This window comes from Homo sapiens, chromosome 5 (assembly GCF_000001405.40).
Source record: "Homo sapiens chromosome 5, GRCh38.p14 Primary Assembly".
Taxonomy (NCBI): Eukaryota; Metazoa; Chordata; class Mammalia; order Primates; family Hominidae; genus Homo; species Homo sapiens.
Genome location: NC_000005.10, coordinates 102,252,760 through 102,276,301, shown reverse-complemented (window position 1 = coordinate 102,276,301; position 23,542 = coordinate 102,252,760). Strand labels below are relative to the sequence as shown.

Genomic DNA, 23,542 nt, shown 5'->3' with positions numbered 1-23,542 from the left:
TTGTGGGTTTCTTATGTGGGAGACATACAGATTTTTAAATTCAGATGAAGATAAAAGTGGATGCTAAAGAAGGAGGGGGAGCTGTGTTGGATATTCTGTGTCCTTCCAGGGCCAATATTTACTATTCATGACTTTTGCTTTGTGCTTTAGTAGAAAAATCCAACAGACTGTGTCAATCTGGCACTTTTCTCTGCCCTGGATTGTAGTTGGGTTAGCTAATAGGAGTTTGCATATTGGGAAGAAAGAGGTCCCAAGTGTGCATTTTCCTGGTGTCCTCCCCACTGGTGTGGTTTGGAGTGGCTGTGTGCCACTGTAACCTTCTAGGATTTAAGTCTGTTTGTATAAGGGCTAAATTTAAATATTTTTAATGACCTAGGACTGTTTTGTTTCTTTTGACACTTTTGTTATGATTCTAACCAGTCTTTTTCAAAAGTGATTTATAGAGCACTAGTTCTGGGAGATGTTAGACATTAATGAAGAAAAAACTAACTTGAATATATGATAGATGATTTTTAAAGATAATATTCTTTATCATGTTACATATAAATAAGTGATTATTCCACTTGTTATTCGAGAACCAAGAAGATTTACGAAGCACACAAAGCCTTTGTTTGCCTGTGCATTCTGAAATTATTTAGAAGTGCTTGTGACACGTGATATACAGTATACTGCTGGTGTTCTCTACAAAGAAGATTCTCAGTAGTCCAAGTGTATTTGTGACTTGGAGTCTCTCTTCAAAGTCTACTCTAAACTATGTCCTGGTGATGACCATTCATGTCATAGTTTCCTGGCCTCCAATTATGCAGGGTGACCTATAGAGATTTACATACATACTTTTACAGTATAGTGATATTTCTTTAAATTATATATTTAAGTATTTTGTTCTATGATTTTAGTTTTCTTTCTTAGGTACATCAACTATTTCAACTATGCGTATATATGATCTTATTTGGCCTCCTTATGTTAACATTTCTTCTTTTTTATCATGAATTTTGCTCACTTTCCTCATTTGTACTCTATATGCCCATAACTATGTTTTCTCAGTCAGTTTACCCATGTGCCCCTTTCCGTTGTATCTTCTTTTCTATGGGGTTTTAGTTTTTTCCTTTTACTTTTTTCTGTCAGGATTTGATCTCCTCTTTCTTTCCTTCATCATTTCTTTTCTTTTACTTCATTTATTTATATAAATCATTGCCTCATCTCGTGATGAACTATGTGTTCACATTTCTCATTTGCTCCATGAAAATATTTTTGTGGTCAGTGCCCTAATCTTAATTTTAATAAAATTATGCTGCCTTTTTTTTCTTATGACATCTTTCTGTAAATGCCGTGGTAACCAGAGATGTGGTACCAGAGATGACAGGAGAGGAATGTAGGATTGAGCTAAATTCCCCAGGCCAGAAGATGCTGTTTAGACTCGGGGTGGTCAACTATAAACAAAAGCAGCAGCTCTTTCTCCTTCCTCAGGGCAGTGGTTAGGAGGTTAGGAGATGAGGAGTGAGGCTGAGGAAAGAAAAGTACAGCTACCCCCTGGGAAAGGAGAAAGAGAGATGGTGTTTGTTTAAAGTTAGCCACGTCAAAGCACCTGATGCAGGTAACTGGGGAGACTGGGTTCCCTCAAAACTAGGCTTCTTTACTCCCCTCTCCAGGATGCATAGATACACATCTCCTGGGAATCTTATCAAATGTGTGGCTGGGGAAGTGGAATCACATCACAGCAGAGTCCATTCTGCCCTACCCCTGGCAGCAGGATAGGCCCAGGGGAAAAGAGGTACCTTTAGCCTCTAGGTCTTTAGGGCAAATGCTTGGAGAGCAGCAGGCTGTGGGTCTTTGATTGGGGTTAAGCATTTGGCTGAGCTTGGTATTTATCTTCTGAATGTTTTGACATATGGTATGTGGATTTCCTTTTGTCTTTTTGTCACAGACCTGCCAATATTAGTGGGTAAGACTGGCCACTTCTTTGTTCATTAGGTACAGTTCTAATCCTTAATTTTATTGGCAGTGTTCCTCTAAATTTATAAACAACGTAGGAGCTTCCACTTGTGGTGTATCGTCAAATCACATGCCTTTTAATTAATGTTGAAATTACAGTATCCATGGGGGATTGGTTCCAGGACCCCCATGGATAACAAAATCTGCATGCTCAAGTCCCTTCTATAAAATGGTGTGTTATTTGTATACAATCTACCTACATCCTCCTATAAACTTTAAATCATCTCTAGATTACAAATAATAGCTAATGTCGTGTAAATGCTATGTAAATAATTATAGTATATTTTTATTTATATTTCTTTTATTGGTGTATTGTTATTTTTCTTCCCTGAATATTTTTGATCTGTGGTTGGTTGAATCCACAGATATGGAACCTGTGGATATGGAGGGCTAACTGTATTTGGTCAGAAATTGTTTGATTTTTCATTAGAAGTTGAAATTCTAGGTTCAAATGGTTTCCTCAACTAATAATCTCACAAAATTCATTGAATAGGTAAATCTAGCTATTTTATAAACTGTATTATAAAAGTACAATTTGCTTCTGATTATCTTAAGGTACACATGGCATCTCTGAATGAAGTATTTCTCTATAGGCTAAAATGTACCCTTTAGTAGTGTTTTTCAGGGCAAGTTCATTTTATGAGATTTAATAGGTTTAAATAATATAGGTTTAAATATTTTTCTTTGTCTTTATATTTGAATGACAATTTGGCTAAGCATAAAATATAAGGGTCACATTATCTTGCACTGGTTACTTTTTTGGCATCCCTTTACTGCCTCTATGGGATTAATGTTGCTTTAGGGAAGTCTGAATGTAAGCTTATGTTTTTTATTTCCTTCTGCATAAGTGACTTTATCTTCTTGTCTAGCTGTTCAAAAAAGTCTTTTCATCTTTAAAATTCACAGACTTTACAAGGGAATATTTTGGTGTTGAAAGTCCTGCATCAGATTTTCCTGGGATTCTCCATATCTTTTTAAATCATAGATCAATTTTAATTATAGAAAATTTTCCTTAATTTTACCTTTAAACATATTTATTTTTCTATTTTGGTTGATTATACCTATGTTTGATTGCCTTTGTCTGAATTCTATATCTGTAATTTTCTCTGTAACCTTTTAAATCTTGGTGTCTTATTTTTCCTTTATTTAATTTTGTTCATATTTCTCAAGTCTATTCTCTCTGTCATAATTCTCACAGTCTCTATTCTTTTTTGACCATTCCAGGGTGACCTCCATTTCTGATAGTTTTGTTCTTTTATGTTTTATAGAACAAAACATGATACTGAGTTATTTAGCCCATGTTTGTGTTTTTTTCTTTTCTTTCTCTATTTCACTGCATTTCTTTCTTTCTTTCTTTCTTTTTTTGAGATGAAGTCTTGCTTTTCTGCCCAGGCTGGAGTGCAGTGGCTCACTGCAACCTCCTCCTCCCGGGTTCCAGCAATTCTTCTGCCCTCAGCCTCCCGAGTAGCTGGGACTACAGGGGTGTGCCACCACACTTGGCTAATTTTTGTATTTTCAGTAGAGACGGGTTTTACCATGTTGGCAATGCTAGTCTCAAACTCCTGACCTCAAGTGATCCACCCACCTTGTCCTTCCAAAGTACTGGAATTATAGGTGTAAGCCATCACGCCCTGCCTCAACACATTTCTATGAGCTTATTAAATCCCCGTTTTGAGCTCTGGATTTTAAGAGGCAATTGTTTCCATTCCTTTTTTAAGTATGGCAATATAGTAATTTTAAAATCTACATTAATGACAGTATTTTTCTGGAGACTGTTCTCCCTTACTAGCCATTTGTTTTTCTTTTTTGATTATTATTCAACTTTGAATGAGGTGAATTATTCCTTGTCAGCTTTTTGTGGGATGTTTGTATTAGATTTCATAATACAGGACCACCTGTATTATGAAAATGGATCAATTAAATAGAGCTTTTCATGAAGCACTGTAAAATGGGTTATAGCTGGGTTGACATATTGATGCCTTTAAACCTTAGAAAGCTGAAGTAATAACAAGAGATTTGTGCTGGAGTGGGATTGCACAGATTAGTGACACAAGATCAAGCCGCCATAAATAAACCCCAGATAGTCAAGTTAGTAAAAGATGTGCTTTTTGGTTAATGCAATAGAATGCTGGATCTCTGTCTTCTCCCACTAAAAGATATTACATATGAATTAACTTAGCACTTCACAGCCCTGCTTCCTTTCTCAATGTATGCCTGTATTATTCACATTTTCTACTTGGGGCCTGCCTGGATGCCTCTGCTTTCTCAAGTTAGCTAATTGTCTGATTATATTCACCAGAGCTGATCTAATTGGCTTATTGCGATCACCTGGGCTGAGCTAATTGGCTTAATGTATTTACCCGAGTTGCAAAAGATGACCTCTGACCTACTTTTCTTCTGAGGCCTTTTTCGCAACATATACACACATATTACATAGACATAGCCATGTGATCCATTCTGTGTGTATATGTTTATCCACCTATCTTATATCTAAATAAAGTAGTAAAAATGCTAAGATAAAACCATTGTTTGTGTAATTATGGAATAAGGAACAGTCATGTACCAAACTCAGAACCTAGGAAAATTGAACTAATTGAAAAATTAGTTCACAGAAAAAAATGCAAGTGACAATAAATGTATGGAAAAATGCTTAATGTCACTGATTTTAAAAATGAAATTTAAAAAATTATATATATATATTTTTAACCAATGAGATTGGTAGTCATTTAAGTTTTATTATGTAAAGTGTTAATGAATTGTTGGTGGGATTGCATATTTGTATGACTTTTTGATAAAGTGGTTTGGCAGTATCAAAATATAAATATTTATTCACTTTGACCTAGCAGTTTCACTCTTTGTAACCTGTCCTATAGATAGGCTTGCCCAAAATGTGCCAGGGTAAACTTAAAAAAATATGTACATCATAACATTCTGATGGAAATAAGAAAATGATCTAAACCTATGTATAATACAATATAATATTAATAATATTTATTATTAAATACATGTGCTGGACTAGGCAATAAAATTACAGGACATTTATGCTATAGAATATTATGACAGTGACAATAAATAAATTTAAATATAGCTTTAAGTGCTAATATCAGAGACGTCCGGGACATAATAAGTGAAAACTGGACATTGTTGAATATAAAGATAGTATGTTTTATTATGACTATAATTGTGTAAAAAAATTAAATGGGGTATACAACACGTAAATGTGTGAGTAAATGTCTGAAAAACTGAAAAGAACTGTTGACAGTGGTTACCCCCATCTAAGTGACAGAGGTGAATAGGAGTGAATAGGCCTTCATAAAGTGAGGGCAGGCTGGGGTAAGAAAGTGTATTTTTCTTTTGATGTATTTTTAAATAGTTTAAATCAAAGTAAAATGATTGGAAGAAATAAATAAGGTTATATTATATTAGGCAAGTGTAATTTATATGATAGAAATTTAAATTATTAGCTGAATTTCTATAAATTCACAATTTTTTTTTCCACAAAGACACTTGTGTAACAACAAGGAATAGCACCAGTTGTACATCTTCAACTTCTTCACTTTCTAACTACTTGTATGTCTTCATCTTGGGACAACTATTGCTGGGGGCAGGAGGAACTCCTCTTTATACTCTGGGAACAGCCTTTCTTGATGATTCTGTGCCCACACACAAGTCTTCTCTCTATATAGGTAAGTTTACTCTCTAAACTGTCTCAGTATCACTTTATCTTATTATTTGTTCACTTTAGAAGTAAAGTATAACATAGGCTTACTAAAAAGTTAGTTGTAATGCCATAGGTTTTCCCAATAAATAAATGCAGTATTACTTTTGTTTTATTTCCTGCCAAATAATGTCAGTAAATATAAATTATAATGATTTTTGTTGATCCTCTGCTGTATTTCTTGCTCTAGGCATGCCAGCTTTGCAGGACAGGAATAGCCATTTAAGCAGCATTCTCTTTAGATTGCTTGAATCTTAGGGTAACTTTCACAAGTGACATAGAGGCAAATCTCTACAAGGTGTAGAGATTGAGCTCTGCCATTCTGTGTGATTTATGACATCCTATATTGACTTACAGTCCACAAAAGAAACCATTGTTTCTCCTTTGTGATCTAATTCCTGGTAGCATAAGTTTCTCTTAAATTCCTTCTCTTATGTTCCTGCAAGGTAAAGCTAACTAGACAATGCACAGCCCTACATCTAATTATTGAATACTTTATTTGCATATGAGTTTTCTCTTTATCAGTCTGTTAATCTAACATAGGAGATTCATTACCACAGCATTTGGAAGACAGTATGTTCAGTGTAGCCTAAGCCACTGAGGATCTCACAGATACCATTGGCTTTGATTACAGCCAGAGTATTCAAATGGAGAATACACTGCTGCGCCCACCCAGAATCAAACCCAAAGGGTACCTACCCAACCAACACCATAGATATATCTATAGGAATATGTCTTATCCTGTGAAAACTACTCAGTAAAATTGGAAGAGTGACTGTTACTCCAACTGTGCAGGTATCAATATAGTAACAAGCAAAAGCAAAAACATGAAAAAGCAAGGAAACATGGCACTTTGAAAGACATACAATAATTATACAGTAACAGAATCAAAATAAAATAAAAATCTGTGAAATGCCTAAAAAGGAATTTGAGCTAATGGTCTTAAAGAAACTCAGTACGATATCAAGGGAACTCAGATAAACAACACAAGGAAATCAAGGAAACAATTCATGATCTGAATGAGAAATTCAAGAGAGATAGATGTCATTAAAAATAACCAAATAGAAATCATGCAACTGATGAATTAAATGAATGAAATTACAAGTGTAGTTGAATGAAAAATTACAGTTGAGAGCTTTAACAATAGACTAGATCAAACAGAAAGAATTTCTGACCACGAAGAGCGGTCTTTTGAAATAACCCAGTCAAACAACACAGCAAACAAAATGAAAAAAAAAATAAAGAAAGCTTATGTGACATATGGGCACTATTAAGTATACAAATATTTGAATTTTAGGAATTTCAGAAGGAGAAGAAATGGGAAAAGGTATAGAAAATCCATATAATGAAATAATGCTGAAAACATCTCAAATTGTGGGTGAGAAATTAGACATCCAGGTACAGGAAGCTCAGGGATTCCCAAATAGATTCAACCCAGAAGGGTCCTCTTCAAGGTGTATTATATTCAAACTGGCAAAAATCAAAGACAAAGATAATTCTAAAAATAACAAAAGAAGAGCGTCAAGTCACATATGGAGGAATTCCCATTAGAAAGATTTCTCAGCAGAAACCTTACAGGTCAGGAGACAATTGGATGATATATTTAAGAATGCTCAAAGGCAGGGGTCTGGGGGTGGGAGGGACACAGCTGTCTGTCAAGAATACTATATCCAGCAAAGCTATTCTTCAGAAATAAAGGTGAAATAAAGTATTTCCCAGGCAAGCAAAAATTGAGGGAGTGCATCATCACTAGACCGGCCCTACAAAAAATGCTTAAAGGAGTTCTACATCTGGAAGCAAAAGGACAATAATTACCACCCTGAACACAAGTGAAAGCATAAAACTCAATGGCAGAGAAGATACTTAAGAAAAAGAAAGGAATCAAATGTTATCACTACAGGAAACTGCCAAACTACTAAGATGAACGAGAGAGGAAGAAATGAACAAAGGATATATAAAACAATCAGAAAACAATTATCAATGATAACAACCTTGAATGTAAATAGTTTAAATTCCCTAATTAAAAATATAGATAGGCTGAATGGATTAAGAAAGTATATCTAACCATATGCTGCCTAGAAGAAACTCATTTCAACTGTAAAGACACACTTAGACTGAAAGTGAAGGGATAAAAAAGATATTTAGTTGTAATTGTAAACCAAAAGGGTGTGGCAGTAGCTATATTTAAATTAGACAAAATAGTCTAAGTCAAAAAATACAAGAAAGAGACAAAGAATATCATTTTACAATTACAAATTCACCAAGAATACAAAAATAAATTCACTAAGAAGATATAGCAATTATAATCGAATATGCACCCAACACCAGAGCATGCACATATATAAATCAAATATTATTAGAGTTAAAGAAATGGACCCCAACATAATAACAGTTGGGAACTTTAATGCCCCACTTCCAGCACTGGGAAGATCATCTAGGCAGAAAATCAGTGAATAATATTGCACTTAAACTTCAGTATAGACCAAATTGACCTAACAGGTATATACGGAACATTTTATCCAGCAGCTACAGGATACATGTTCTTCTTTTCAGCACATGGAACATTCTCCAGGGTAGACCATATGAAGCCACAAAGTAAGTCTCAAAAAACTTTTAAATATTAATAATATATCAGGTATATTCTCTGACTACAGTGAAAAAAAACTAGAAATCAATAATGAGGAACTTCTGGAACTATACAAATAGATGAAAATTAATCATCATGCTGCTGAGCAACCAATATGCCAATGAAGAAATTAAGAAGGAATTACATGAAATTAGAAATACAATAAACCAAATCTTATGAGGTACAGCAAAAGCAATGCTAACAGGGAATTTTATACCAATAAACACCTACATCATAAAAATAGATTTCAAATAAACCACCTAATGATGTACCTCAAGGAAATGGAAAAGCAAGAACAAACAAACCCAAAATTAGAAGGAAAGAAATAATAAAGACTATAACAGAACTAAACAAGAGTTACAAGAGTTAAAAAAAAAAAAAACTACAGAAGATCAATGAAATGAAAATTGGTTTTTTGGAAAAGATAAAATAAAGCCATTTGCTAGACTTAAAAAAAGAGAGAAGACCTAAATAAGTGAAATCAGAAACAAAATAGAAGGCATCACAGCTGATACCACAGAAAAACAAAGGATTGTTAGTCTTACTAACAAATACATCCAACAAATTGAAAAACCTGGAGAAAATGGATAAATTCCTAGGCACATACAACCTACCAAGATTGATCCAGGAAGAAATAGAAAACTTGGTCAGACAAATAACATGTAATGAGATTGAATCAATAATAAAAAGTCTCCTATGAAACAAAAGCCCAGGGCTGGATGGCTTCACTGCTGAAGTCTATAAAACTTGTAAAGAAGAACTTAGCACCAGTTCTTTTCAAACTATTCCAGATAGTTGAAGAGGAGAGAATTCTTCCTAACTTATTCTGAGACCAGTATTACCCTGATGCCAAAACCAGAGAAAAACAGAATGTAAAGAGGAGCTACAAGCCAATATCCCTAATGAACATAGATACAAATTCCTCAACAAAATTATAGCTAGCCAAATTCAATGGCACATCAAAAAATAATACACCATGTTCAAGTGGAATTGATCTCAGTGATGCAAGAATTAGTTTGCCATATGGAAATCAATAAATATGATACATCACATAAACAGAATGAAGGACAAATATCACATGATCATCTCTGTAGATGTAGAAATGTATTTGATGAAACTCAATATCCCTTCATGATAAAAACTTTTAAGAAATTAGGTATAAAAGGAACGTACATCAACACAGTAAAGGCCGTATATGGAAAACCCACAGCTAACGTTATACTGAATGAGAAAAAGCTGAAAGCCTTTCCTCTAAGAACTGAAGCACAAGAAAGCCCACTTTCTGTTTTTTTTCTTTTCTTTTCTTTTCTTTTTTGAGATGGAATCTCGCTCTTGTCACCCAGGCTGGAGTGCAGTGGTGCGATCTCTGCTCATTGCAACCTCTGCTTCCTGGGTTTAAGTGATTCTCCTGCCTCAGCCTCCCAAGTAGCTGGGATTACAGGCACCTGCCACCACACCTGGCTAATTTTTGTATTTTTAGTAGAGACAGGGTTTCACCACGTTGGCCATACTGGTCTCGAACTCCTGACCTCAGATAATCCACCCACCTCGGCCTCCCAAAGTGCTAGGATTACAGGTGTGAGACACCAGGCCTGGCTGAAGGCCCACTTTCATCACTCTTATTCAACATGGTACTGGAAGTCCTATTCAGAGCACTTAGGCAAGAGAAAGAAATAAGGGACATCAAAATTGGAGAAGAGGAAGCCAAATTGTCTCTCTCCACAGATGACATAGTCTTACATAAAAACATCTAAAGACTCCACCAAAAAACTCTTAGAACTATTAAATAAATTCAGTGAAGTTTCAGGGTACAAAGTCACATTAAAAAAATCAGTAGTATTTCTTTACACCAATGATGAACTAGTTGAAAAATATATCAAGAAAGTAATATCATTTATAATGGTTACAAAGAAATACATAGGAACAAATTTAACCCAGGAGGCGAGAATCTTTAAAGGAAAACTACAAAACACTGATGACAGAAACTGAAAACAGAAAAAAAATGGAAAGGCATCCCATGCTCATGGATTCAAAGAGTGAATATTGTTGAAATGACTGTCTATACTACCCAAAGCAATGTACAGATTCAATGCAATCCCTATCAAAATTCCAATGTCACTTTTCACAGACATGGAAAAACAGTCCTAAAATTCATACGGAACTAGAAAAGATGCCAAATAGCCAAAACAATCCTGAGCACAAAGAACAAAACCGAAAGCATCACACTATCTGATTTCAAATTATACAACAAAGCTTTAGTAATCAAAAAAGGATGGTGTTGGTATCAAAACAGACACATTGACCAATGGAACAGAATAGAGAACTCAGAAATAAATCTATGTATTTATGGCCAACTGATTTTTGCTAAAGATACCAAGGATATACACTGGGGACTCTTTAATAAATGGTGCTGTAATAACTGGATATTGATATGCAGAAGAATACAACTAGACCCCTATCTCACACCATATACAAAAATCAACTCAAAATGGATTAGAGACTTAAATGTAAGACTCAGAACTATAAAATTACCAGAGGAAAACATAGGGGAAACACTTTAGTACATTGTTCCAGGCAAAGATTATATGGCTAAGACTGCAAAAGCATAGGCAACGAAAACAAAATTAGACAAATGGGGCTATATCAAGCTAAAAAGTTGCTGCACAGCACACGAAACAATCATCAGATTGTAGAGACAACCTATAAAACAGGAGGAATTATTTGCAGACTGTTCATCCAACAAAGGTCTAATTTCCAGAATATATAAAGAACTTTAACAACTCAACAGCAAAATGTCCAAATAATCTAATTATAAAATAAGCAAAGAATCTATATAGCCATTTTTCAAAATAAGATATACAGATGACCACCATGTGTCCCCATGTTATTGTAGCGCTTCCCACAATAGCTAAGAGATGGAATCAAGCTAAATATTCGTCAACAGATGAATAAAGAAAATGCGAAATGTATATACAACAGGATACTATTCAGCCATAAAAAAAAAAGAATCCTGTCATTCATAGTAACATGGGTGAGCCTAGAGGACATCCTGTTAAATGAAACAAGTCAGGCACAGAAGATAAATATTGCATGTTCTTACTGGTATGTGGGAGCTAAAAAGAAAAAATATCAGCTCATAGAATTTGAGAATAGAATTACGGTTATTAAAGGCTGGGGAAGATATGGGAAGGGGAGGATATGGAGAGATTTGTTAATGGATAGAAAACTACAGTTAGGAGAAATAAATTCTGGTGTTCTATATAGCACTGTAGATTGAATATAGTTAACCATTACTCATTGTATATGTTCAAAAAGCTAGAAGAGGGGATGTTGAATGTTCCCAACATAAACAAGTCATAAATGTATGAGGTGATGGGTGTGCTAATTACTACGATTTGATCATTACACATTGTATAGATGTATTGACACATAACCATGTACACTCTAAATCTGTACAATGGTTATGTGTCAACTAAAAAAGGGGAAAAAAAGTGAAACTATATTCAACTGACTCCCCAAAATACTTGGGAGCTTAAATAAACAGCAACAACAACAACAATAAAAAGACATGAGTGGTCAAATAACTTTTGTTTTATGAAAATTCAGAGTTATATATGGCAACATTTTAAATATCTCACAGATAGAAATAAGCTCAATTTAATTCTACTGCAAGTAAAAATAGGGAGAGTCCCTACCCTAAGAGCAAGAAATCTAATGGCTTACTTTTAAGAAATAGACTGATCAGCACATCCAGATTTGAAGTCAGCTGCTGTAGTGCAAAATACAAAATTCTGTCTGAGTTGTGCAGAGTAGAAAAGACTTCTTGTTTCACATTGCTTGCATTGTTTTCTTCATGATATTGTAAAGTGTAACTATGATCACTATCAGTAAAGGATAAATGGTAGATATACTACCTCTACTGCCAGTTAACAACACTTTCCATGGATTTATAATTTTTGGTTTTGTTCTAAGTATTACTACAAATAGCTTTTATATTGAGTTATGTGTTTTAGGATTTTTGACTTGACTATCAATTCAAATGGTATTGTTTTAGTGAAAATATGTGTGATTTTGATATGTTTAATTGTTTAGATTTTTCTGTAGTAAAATATTTGTTTTCACTGTTAGATATGCAAAGTGAAGTTGTACATATGACTGTATTCAATGTCTCTGTTCTTCTTCTAGGAACCGGTTATGCTATGTCAATCTTAGGCCCTGCTATTGGCTATGTATTGGGAGGACAACTGCTAACCATATACATTGATGTTGCTATGGGAGAAAGGCAAGGCAGTATCTATTTTTCTTTTATTTAAAGTCATTTTATTTTAATTATGCCAGCATCATAGACAGAACATTTTCACAGTACTTCCCTCAGTATAGCATGAGGAATTATTCAGGAAACAAAATTGAATACAAAGAATTCTTATATAATATCTTATTTGGCTGCATTACCTTTTGGGTCAGTGCTATACCATCTTTTATTATAATAACATATTTTCATAAATAATATTTAATAAAGTCATCTGGTGAAATTTTTAAAAATAAGTATGTAGGACCCCATGCATTGTTCAAAAATAAGAATTCAATAAAAATTAGCAGTATTTTCCATAGATTTAGTTGGGACTAGATAGTCTGAAGAGTCTCAAGAGTCTGTGATTCTCAGAAAATGTTCCATAGTAACTCTGATAATGTCAGAGATCACAATTATGCCATTTTAACAATGATGACAATGAAAGATAGTAATAGATAATATTTATTTGTCCTATGCTATATACCAGACACCATATGTTTTGAGTGTTAACTTATTTTATGTGCTATCTTATTTAATCCTCTCAAGTATTCTGCAAAGTAGTTGATACGCACAGGTTGGTAAGTGGCTAAGACATGAATTAAAGTAGATCTCTTTGACTCCAAAATTCAACACTGAGTTACTTACCTTCTCCATTTCCTGATTAGAGAAATTTGTGCCTTTACTGAGGTCATATTTTTTTTCATTTTGCCACTGGGAATAATAACTGCACAATCCTCTACATGACCATGAGCAGTGAATATAAAAATGTGGTCATAGGTATGTGATTTGTTCTCTAAACTGTTAGTCCTAGGTTAATCTTTCACAGCCTATAAAAAGGCATGCAGAAGAACTCTTGAATTAGTGACCCAGAGATTTAAGAAAGGACATTTTAATTTCAGTGGAAAATTACAGGAGTTGTAGGATTAGTGTATTTTCGGAAAGGGCCAAAGTGTATTAAAATATGAGACTCCTGGCTCGGCACAGTGGCTCATACCTGTAATCCTAGCACTTTGGGATATCAAAGTGTAAGGATCACTTGAGGCCAGGAGTGGCTTGTGCCTGAAGTCCCAGCTACTTGGGAGGCTAAAATGGGAGAATCACTTGAACCCAGGGGTTCAAGGCTGCAGTGAACTATGATCATGCAATTGCACCCCAGCCTGGGTGACAGACTGAGACCCTGTTTCAAAGAAATAAATAGACAAATAAATAGTTGCTTTAAGACTAATTTTACATTAAAGAAATGCTCTAATTGAAGCACACTCTGGACTTTTAACACAGATCAGTGATTTGCTGTGATATATATTTAATTTAATACAGTAGAGAAGAAAATTCAGCCAAAGTTAAAAGAATGTTGAGAAATTCTACATATCTTTTCAAATATTTGTCATATTTACTATTAGATATTTTAAACTTTTGTGTCATATTTGCCATTTTTAAACATTTTGTAAACCATTATTCTTATAACTCTCAATTATGTCTGCTACCTGTTTTCTGATTCTTTGCAATGGCACCATTAAACTGTTGGATATTATAATCATATTCTACTATATGCACTTGAAGTATAAAGTATATGATTATCCTAACTGAGTTTTAATTAATAAGGTAGAGTTGACTTTTACCTCTTGTTTTTCTATCATATAGCACTGATGTCACTGAGGATGATCCGCGATGGTTGGGAGCTTGGTGGATTGGGTTTCTTCTATCATGGATCTTTGCTTGGTCTTTAATAATACCTTTTTCTTGCTTTCCAAAACATTTACCAGGTAAACATGCTTTCTTTAAAACCAGAGAGGTTTATTTTAATTGTAGGCCAGTTGCTATTTTCTATATGATTAATAAGAACTATAGATTCACCCTGTTTCTTTTATAGAATCTCAACTGTCTGCCTATGTAAACTTTTGAATATTCTTCATTCTAGAAAATATTGGGTAACAATCTTAATATTCATGTTTTTTTAATTTCCAATTAATAATAAAACTATGAATATTTACCTCTTTAGTACTTAATAAATTTGTTTCTTATGTTTTATCTGCAATTCTGCTTTATGTGTATGCAAGGTACAACGTCTTTTAAACTGTTAGTTTGTATTCAGTTAGTCATTAATTTCAATCTGTCTTAAATCATTCATGTTAATTATTTGTAGTTAAAAGTGCAAGTACTTTTTTTTTTAAGTTATCACTGAAGTCATTCCGTAGCGTACTTTTTTTTTTTTTACTGTATGTGAATATTAAACATTATTTTCTTTCTTTCTTTTATGTTTTTTGAGACAGAGTCTCCCTCTGTTGCCCAGACTGGAGTGCAGTGGCACGATCTCCGCTCACTGCAACCTCTGCCTCCCGAGTTCAAGCAATTCTCCTGACTTAGCCTCCTGAGTAGCTGGGACTACAGGCATGTGCCACCACTCTCGGCTAATTTTGTATTTTTATTAGAGATGGGGTTTTGCCATGTTGGCCAGGCTGGTCTCGAACTCCTGACCTCAGGTGATCTGTCTGCCTCAGCCTCTCAAAGTGCTGTGATTACAGGCATGAGCCACCACATCCGGCTTGAATACTAAACATTCTATATAAAAAGAAAAGGTTAATAAGAAAGACTATTCATTTTTCTCTATGAGCTCTTGCTTCTGTAAAATCATGTAGTTAAAATTCATATCTGTAGAAGTATTTTTCTTTAGGTTGAAGGTATTTAGTTGTTTACATTGTTATTTGCAGCAGGATAGATTATTAACTTTTGGAAATGGGCAAGAGACAATCTGACAGACTGAGTAGGTAGACGCGTTAATTTCTTTCTACCCTGAGCCATTCATTTATAGTTCCATATGTTAACTGTTTTCTCAAATTTGTTGGCAGTACCATTATTAAAAATCAAAGGGACATGGTAATAAGATGGCAAATATTTCATTTGTCAAGCATGTTAGGATTAAGAGAGCAGAGGAAAAAAGCCACAAAAGTACTTTAATGTAAAAGATCAAAAAGAGAACCATTTGAAAGGAAGAAAAAAATGTTAAGAGATTTTAAATGAAAAGCATAGATGTGTGATTGGAGCAAAATTGTCTCATTTTAATGTTTAGACTGGTTGGAACTTCCTTAGCTAGTAATAATGAATACTAGTTCTTGGGGCATCCTGATTACAGACATGGATATTTACATATTTGAACAATTTTATTAACAGAAGAACTAGCCTCTTATAGAATTTATATACTAGTGGAAGTATGTGTCGGTTAAAAAGTAAGCACTTTTTTTACATGAAGAATAAAATGATAGAGCACGTTTACTTATTATATATTATATATATTATACATATAATATATTATATGTATAATATATATATTATATATATATATATATTTTTTTTTTAGGTACAGCAGAAATTCAAGCTGGAAAAACTTCCCAGGCTCATCAGAGTAATAGTAATGCAGATGTGAAATTTGGAAAAAGTATTAAAGATTTTCCAGCTGCTCTAAAGGTAAAATAAAATTCTTCTCTGTCTCTCTCTCAGTCTCATACACACACACATATACACACACACACCTCACATGTACATATGTGTAGATGTGTTTATATATTATATATACACACATATATATATACAAATACAACCACACATGTATACATACATATAAACACCCACATAAACCCACACACACCAACACATACCCACACATGCAAACACACATGCCATCTTTTCATAGTAGCATTTTGTTTGCTTGTTTACTACAATTTGAGCTCTTATAAACAACTCTTTGGATTCAGTTTTATTGTCTTTTGAGTAAATGAAAACTATTGCAGGGTAGAATGGTTGAAAGAGCATGAGTTGTCTTATTGGCAATATCATATTCAGTGGTTCCTTGTTAACACTAATAGCCCATTATTCCATGACATTTTCCTTATGAAATTGATTAGTCAATTATCACTGAATTGTAAATATATTTGAGAATTCTGAAACAATATTTTTCTTTTGTGAAAGAGGTGGTTAGTGGTAACTTCTTTTGAATTCGAGGCTAAAGAACAAAAGTGTTATGGTCCATTAAGTTGTACTCAGCAGAAAAGTATTCTTTCTATTTAGTGTTATAAAAGTTTTATTCATAAAGGACTTTATAATTTTACCTTTTCAAGATGTGAAATTGTTTGCTTTTCATTGTTTTTGGTTTCTTGTCAAATAAAAGCCTTAAAATGTTTTTACTTCTCCACTCAGCCCATCTTTCAACTCTCCACACCATACATGCACATTCTTGTGTTTTGCTGATATTGTTCATGCTTTAATTGCAACTACTGTTATTTTCTCTTACAGTAGTTCTGTTCTATTTCATTATTCCTGTTTAGTTTATCTTATAAATTTTAATTTACATTACCATATAGAGTCATTACTGACCATTACTTTTTTTTGTCCTTGTGTCCTCCTGCTTAGAGATCTCTCTATTCTGATTTCAATCTCTATGAATTCAACATTTTCTTGTTGGTTTTCCTTAGATAGGATACCACCTAGATATCCTTGAATGTCTGAATAATATATTTTACTAGGTGAATACTTTTGGATCATTCCTCTTTAATCCCAGTAGTCTGTGGATATTGTTTGCTCTTTTCTACTTAATTGTGTTGTATTTGAGAAGTTTTATGTTAGTGCGATTCTGACTTATTCTTTTCATCTTTATGTTGGTAAGTTTTTTCATTTATCTTTGATTACAGGAAATTTACTCAGTTATGCTGAAGTATATGTCTTTTTTCATTAATTCTTCTCAAGATTTGATTATTTTCAATCTGAAGACAATTTTTTAAAATATTGCTATTTTTATTATTATTAATTATTTTAAATTATTGCATGTTTTTAGGTACTTTTTCCTCCTTTTGTCAGTCTATGTGGCTCTGACTTCTAAAGCTCCCATCTTGCTCCTTTGTGACTCCGTGTGTGTGTGGTGTGTGTGTGTGTTTGTGTTTTGCTTGGTTTTATGAAAAATTTTTTGGCATTTAATATTTGAGAACTATAATTTGGTTTTCATTTTGTGGTTAAATGTATTAACACAATTAACCTCCATACTACCCTCTGTCAATAAATAAGATTATGAGAGGTCTAGCCATATAGACACCTATTTAAAGTTGCTTAACTGTGTTTCTAAAGTGCTTAATTGCTGAGTGTAATCATGGAACCATACTATTAATTTGATACTTAGAGACCATTCTCATCTCTGCTCATAGTCTTAAACTCTTTCTTTACTGTACATAGGAATTCAGAACACAATAAAATATCAAATAGGTGGTAGATTTATAGTGTGGAGATTTACAGTAACACTGGGGAAGGGAACTTTTCCAAGAAGGCTTTTACCTTCTTTCCATAGCCCTTGGAATGCAATAAATGCATAACCACCATGTTGAGGAATTATCTATCAATTTTCTAGGTTTTCCACATATAAATTTTCTCATCATGTATGTGTAATTCTATTAATTATCCATAGTTATATTTTTGTTTTGGAGGAAATGCTGAAATTTTACAGATGATTGTAAAATTTTGTTATTTCATCATGCTAACCTTCTAATTCTGTACTTTGCAATACAATCATAGCTATTCATTTGAGGAACTGTATTTTTTTCTTTAGAATTTGATGAAGAATGCTGTCTTTATGTGTTTAGTTCTATCAACTTCTTCAGAAGCCTTAATTACTACTGGATTTGCTACATTTTTACCTAAATTTATAGAAAATCAATTCGGATTGACATCCAGCTTCGCAGCTACTCTTGGAGGTAAAACATTTTCTTTATCTTAACCTAAAAATTTTACTTTACTATATTAAATTTTTATGAGGATAGTGTATAATTTGAGGTAGCCCTCCTTGAAATTTAAACTAAAACCAGCCCGGCCAACATGGTGAAACCCTGTCTGTACCAAAAAACATAAAAATTAGCCGAGCATAGTGGCACGCACCTGTAGTCCCAGGTCCTTCAGAGGCTGAGGTGGGAGAATCACTTGAACCTGGGAGGTGGAGACTGCAGCGAGCCGAGATTGCGCCATTGTACTCCAGCCTGGGTGACAGAATGAGATCTTGTCTTTAAAAAAAAAAAAAAAAAGACACTTAAACTTAATTTTGGTAAAAATTTCTGATTTTCTGACATTAGGCAATCTTTTGTATGAACTAGAGAAAGACAAAGGCTAAAATTCCTAAAGAGAACATATATTAATCTTAATGTTCAATACATTAATTTGACTAATTCCCTACTTGATGGACCTTTAAGTCATTTGTACATGTATTTCTATATCAGGTGAATAAATATAAGTTAAAACCATATTGACACTTGTTTTTGATGTTTTCCAGTTGTCAGTATGAGTGAGTATATGTGTATGGTTTCTCACAATCTACATTCTTTTTTCTTATTAGGGGCTGTTTTAATTCCTGGAGCTGCTCTCGGTCAAATTTTAGGTGGCTTCCTTGTTTCAAAATTCAGAATGACATGTAAAAACACAATGAAGTTTGCACTGTTCACATCTGGAGTTGCACTTACGCTGAGTTTTGTATTTATGTATGCCAAATGTGAAAATGAGCCATTTGCTGGTGTATCTGAATCATATAATGGGTAAATACAATTCAGTGCTTTTTGATATTAATACCAGAATAATAGACTAAGCATTTCCAAGCATATGTTTTCTTAAATGGTGAGAAATTGGCTTTTTAAAAATTTGGAAGACCTTTTTTCCTATGTAAGAACATGTGGTTTTGTTTTTAGTTTAGATAATTGATGTCTTCTTAAAAGTTGGGGATATTTATACAAAGAACATTTAAGGAGCAACTTTCATATACTGGGCACTATACTTCCTCAGTGATACAAAGATTAATACTGTAGGATTTTTGCCTCTAAGCGATTCACATCCTAGGGAGAATTTCACATTATATGCTTTTATTGATTTAAGTTTTTAGAAATGGAAATAACTCCATAATTATGATAAAAATTATCTTATTAGGTTGGTTGCAAACAGACAAGAAGAGAAATTAGAATAAAGCTAGTCCTTGCTAATACTTACCATTATTGTATCTACTTAGAAGTTTATGTTTATTGTAAATAAATAAATAACTTGTTCTCACCTGTAGACATGTTTCTAGCTATAACTGATTCAACCATTTATATTTCTTTGTTTTCCTTTTTTGTTTTGCTTTGAAATTTTAAGCCATAAGTAGGTGGTCAGGCAGGAGGGTGTTGCACAGCAGTGCATTTTATACCTCACAGTGCTGCTTTAATTGTTTCATTACATGTGTTTGAGGCTGTCAAGGAAAGTGGTACGTTAGGTCAAGGACTCCATAATTTTGTATAATATGACATATAGATGATATAAATATAATCTACTTTGCTCAGAAAAGTTTGCCAATGACAATCATCATGATTTGTAGTTGCTGCTAATATATCTGTGATTCTTTTACATTAATGCTGAGTGTTCTAAAGCAGTGTTTAGTTAAGCTCCATCACATTTTTTTCTTTTTTTGTTTTTTTTAGACAGAGAGTCTTGCTCTGTCACCCAGGCTGGAGTGCAGTGGCACAGTCTTGGCTCACGGCAACATCTGCCTCCTGAATTCAAATGATTCTTGTCTCAGCCTCTGGAGTAGCTGGGACTACAGGCGCATGCCACCATGACCAGCTAATTTTTGTATTTTTAGTAGACGTGGGGTTTCGCCCTGTTGGCCAGGTTGGTCTCAAACTTCTGACCTCAAGTGATCTGCCTGGCTCGGCCACCCAAAGTGCTGGGATTACAGGTGTGAGCCACCGCGCCCGGCCAAGCTCCATTACATTTGTTCAACATTTGTTGAATGCTTCCTCTGGCAGATCTTCTTGGCAAAATACCTGTTCTAAAGGAGAGATTGCAAAAGAAAACAGTGAACAAATAGTCAATTAGGTAATGGGAGATTAAAAAAAATTGCTATGGAATTGAAAAGAAGGTGAGCTTTTCAATTTTATTTGATTAGAATCCAGAAGGGCTTCACAGCATAATAGTGAAATGGGGTTTAAAAATCCTTCAAGGATACAAAGAGTTTTGAGAAATAAAGATTTGAGAAGAGAGAAAGGGAGAGGGAATATGCTAAACCAAGGTTATAAATGCTATAAAATGTGAAGGCTAGTTTCAGAGACCAGGTTGAATGGAACTTAGATTATGTGTCTAGAAATAGTAGAAATATATTTTGGAATGTTGAAAGGTAGGTAGAGGTTAAGTTGTGTAGACCTGACTTTCACCCCTATAAACTTCACCCAAACTTATCCCAGTAAACATTTTTTGTATGTTCCTTTTAGAAAAAAAAGGAAGTTCTGGATAGTTTAACACATAGTTTATCACCTTGAGTAACAAAGTACATGTGAATCCATTTAATATTGTCTACCTTAAATAATAGTTACTACCAGGTGTGCTGTCCAGGTGTGTAATCAGAAAGGAAGGCATGTGTGATGGGGTAATTCTGAGGTTCACGTAGGGGTTGGCCATTAAGATATATTAAGATCTGGGATATAGTGTTTAATACACATACATGTTTCTTAGTGATGAGAAAAACTGAAAGTGAATACACATAAATATCACTAAACGTATATGTTTTTACTCATATTTATGTATGTGTGTGTATATAGATATAAATAGAAATAGGAACAGAATTTAATGTCACAAAGTAGGTGTGACATTTTCAGATCATTTTTTTCTCATGGCCCCAAATTCTTAGTTTTAGCTTCTATACACTGAGTATTAAAATGTGTATATTACAAACAGGTCAGTCAAACTAGTCTCATCTAAGAAACACGTATAAAAGAAAAGGTACAGGCATATGTTGAGGATATTGTGGGTTTGCTTCCAGACCACCAAAATAAAGCATATATTGCAATAAGCAACTCAAGTGGATATTTTGGTTTTCCAGTGCATATAAAGGTTATATTTACCCTATACTGTAGTCTATTACATATACAATAACCTTATTTCTAGAAAAGCAATGTACAATGTATATACCTTAATTTAAAAATTATTTATTGCTGAAACATGCTGACAATCATCTGAGCCTTCAGCAAGTTGTAATTTTTTTGCTGGTAGAGAGTCTTGCCTCAGTGTTGATGGCTGCTGACTGACCAGGGTGGTGGTTGCCAAAGGTTGGGGTAGTTGTGGCAGCTTCTTAAAATAAGACAATAATGAGCAGTCAGAACACACACATCATTCATTGATTAAATTTTACTTCTTAAAGGGGCATGGTTCATGGTGTCCTGAAACAATTATTATAGTACATCAAAAATCACTGATCACCATAACAGAAATGATAATGAAAAAGTTTGAAATTTTGCAAGGTTACCAAAATATGAAATAGACATAAACTGATCGTGTACTCTGGGAAAAATGGCACTTGATAGACTTACTGAATACTATCACTATCACTAGGTTGCCACTAACCTTCAGTTTGTAAAAAACACAAGATTTGCAAAGTACAATAAAACAAAGTAAAGTAAAGCTAGGTAAGCCTGTCTATGGAAAGAACAGACTAAGAAGCTCAAGAAATACCTTTTCAGGGAGTGAGAGACAGAAGAGGTTCTGAGGATGTAGGGTTTCTAGTAGAGGGGTGCAAAGAATCTTTGACTTTTGCCATGGTAAGCACAGATGGGTAAAAAGAGATTTTGCATCCATGAATTAATGAATTAGGTTCATTGATATGTTCTTTGAAAGTCCCTGTTTAATATAACAGCATTTCCAAAAAATGTAAGATCAGGGGATATATATATATATAAATAATTTCAACTTTTAGATTCAGGGGGTACATGTGCAGATTTGTTACCTGGGTATATTATATGATGCTGAGGTTTGGGGTATGATTGATTCTGTTACCCAGGTACCAAGCATAGTACTGAATAGTTTTTCTTTTCTTTTTTTTTTTTTGAGATAGAGTCTCCTTTGGTCGCCCAGGCTGGAGTGTAGTGGCACGATCTCAGCTCACTGCAACCTCTGCCTCCTGGGTTCAAGCAATTCTCCTGCCTCAGCCTCCCGAGTAGCTGGGATTATAGGCGTGCCATCACACGCAGCTAAATTTTGTATTTTTAGTAGAGACAGGGTTTCACCATGTTGACCAGGCTGATCTTGAACTCCTGACCTCAGGTGATCCACCCGCCTCGGCCTCCCAAAGTGCTGGGATTACAGGTGCGAGCCACTGTGCCTGGCTAATAGTTTTTCAACACTTGCCCCACTTCTTCTCTTCTCCCTCTTGTATCTGCAGTGTCTATTGTTGCCATCTTTATTCCATAAGTACTCAGTGATTAGCTCCCACTTTTAAGTGAGAGCATGTGGTATTTGGTTTTCTGTGCCTGTGTTAATTTGCTTGAGATAATGGTCAGGATATTTTTCAATAATATTTTAAAGTAATTTATTATTAAATCTTTAATTGGGCACAATACTAAATTCGATTGCATGAATACTGTTTATTTTCCCACTGTTCCCCACTGCTCTTTTGTTGCCTTGACAATCTATAGGAACTTTGAGTCTTATTTTGGTGATCAGTGGTGGTAATGATGATTCATGTTTTACTTAAAACCTCATAGAATATAGAAATACCATAGTGTATACACACAGTATTTTTTTCTGTATCTGATCTTTAGCTAGAATTTTATTGATTATATGAAATAGCATCTTAAAGAGGCATATCAATATTTTGCAATAGTTTTAGGGAAATTTTAGCCTGTTATAGAGGCATAATTATAGAATACTTTGTATTTAAGAAATTAATGTTTGAATTCTACTTGTGGCAAACATAAAGATGTTTATATATGCACATTTATTTTATTATATTTTAAATCTATTAAACATTTCAAAATAGGATATTTTAATATTTTTAAATATGTATACACTAAGAAAATTTAATAAACTTCACAAGCATCTGCCGTTTTTCTACTAATAGCTTTCTAGTTACCTCAAGAAGTAAACCTTTGTA

General features: G+C 33.9%; 1 protein-coding gene across 4 annotated transcripts in view; it reads left to right on the top strand.

Annotated features, from left to right (window-relative positions):
* Nucleotides 1-23,542, top strand: part of SLCO4C1 (solute carrier organic anion transporter family member 4C1) — a 62,299-nt gene that overhangs the window by 19,983 nt on the left and 18,774 nt on the right. For all 4 annotated transcript variants that reach the window (XM_011543370.3, NM_180991.5, XM_047417146.1 and 1 more), the window contains 6 exons: nucleotides 5,496-5,678; nucleotides 12,522-12,618; nucleotides 14,269-14,390; nucleotides 15,983-16,089; nucleotides 18,215-18,359; nucleotides 18,992-19,187. In XM_011543370.3, coding sequence (XP_011541672.1) covers nucleotides 5,496-5,678; nucleotides 12,522-12,618; nucleotides 14,269-14,390; nucleotides 15,983-16,089; nucleotides 18,215-18,359; nucleotides 18,992-19,187 — 850 coding nt within the window. The remainder of the gene's footprint in view (nucleotides 1-5,495; nucleotides 5,679-12,521; nucleotides 12,619-14,268; nucleotides 14,391-15,982; nucleotides 16,090-18,214; nucleotides 18,360-18,991; nucleotides 19,188-23,542) is intronic.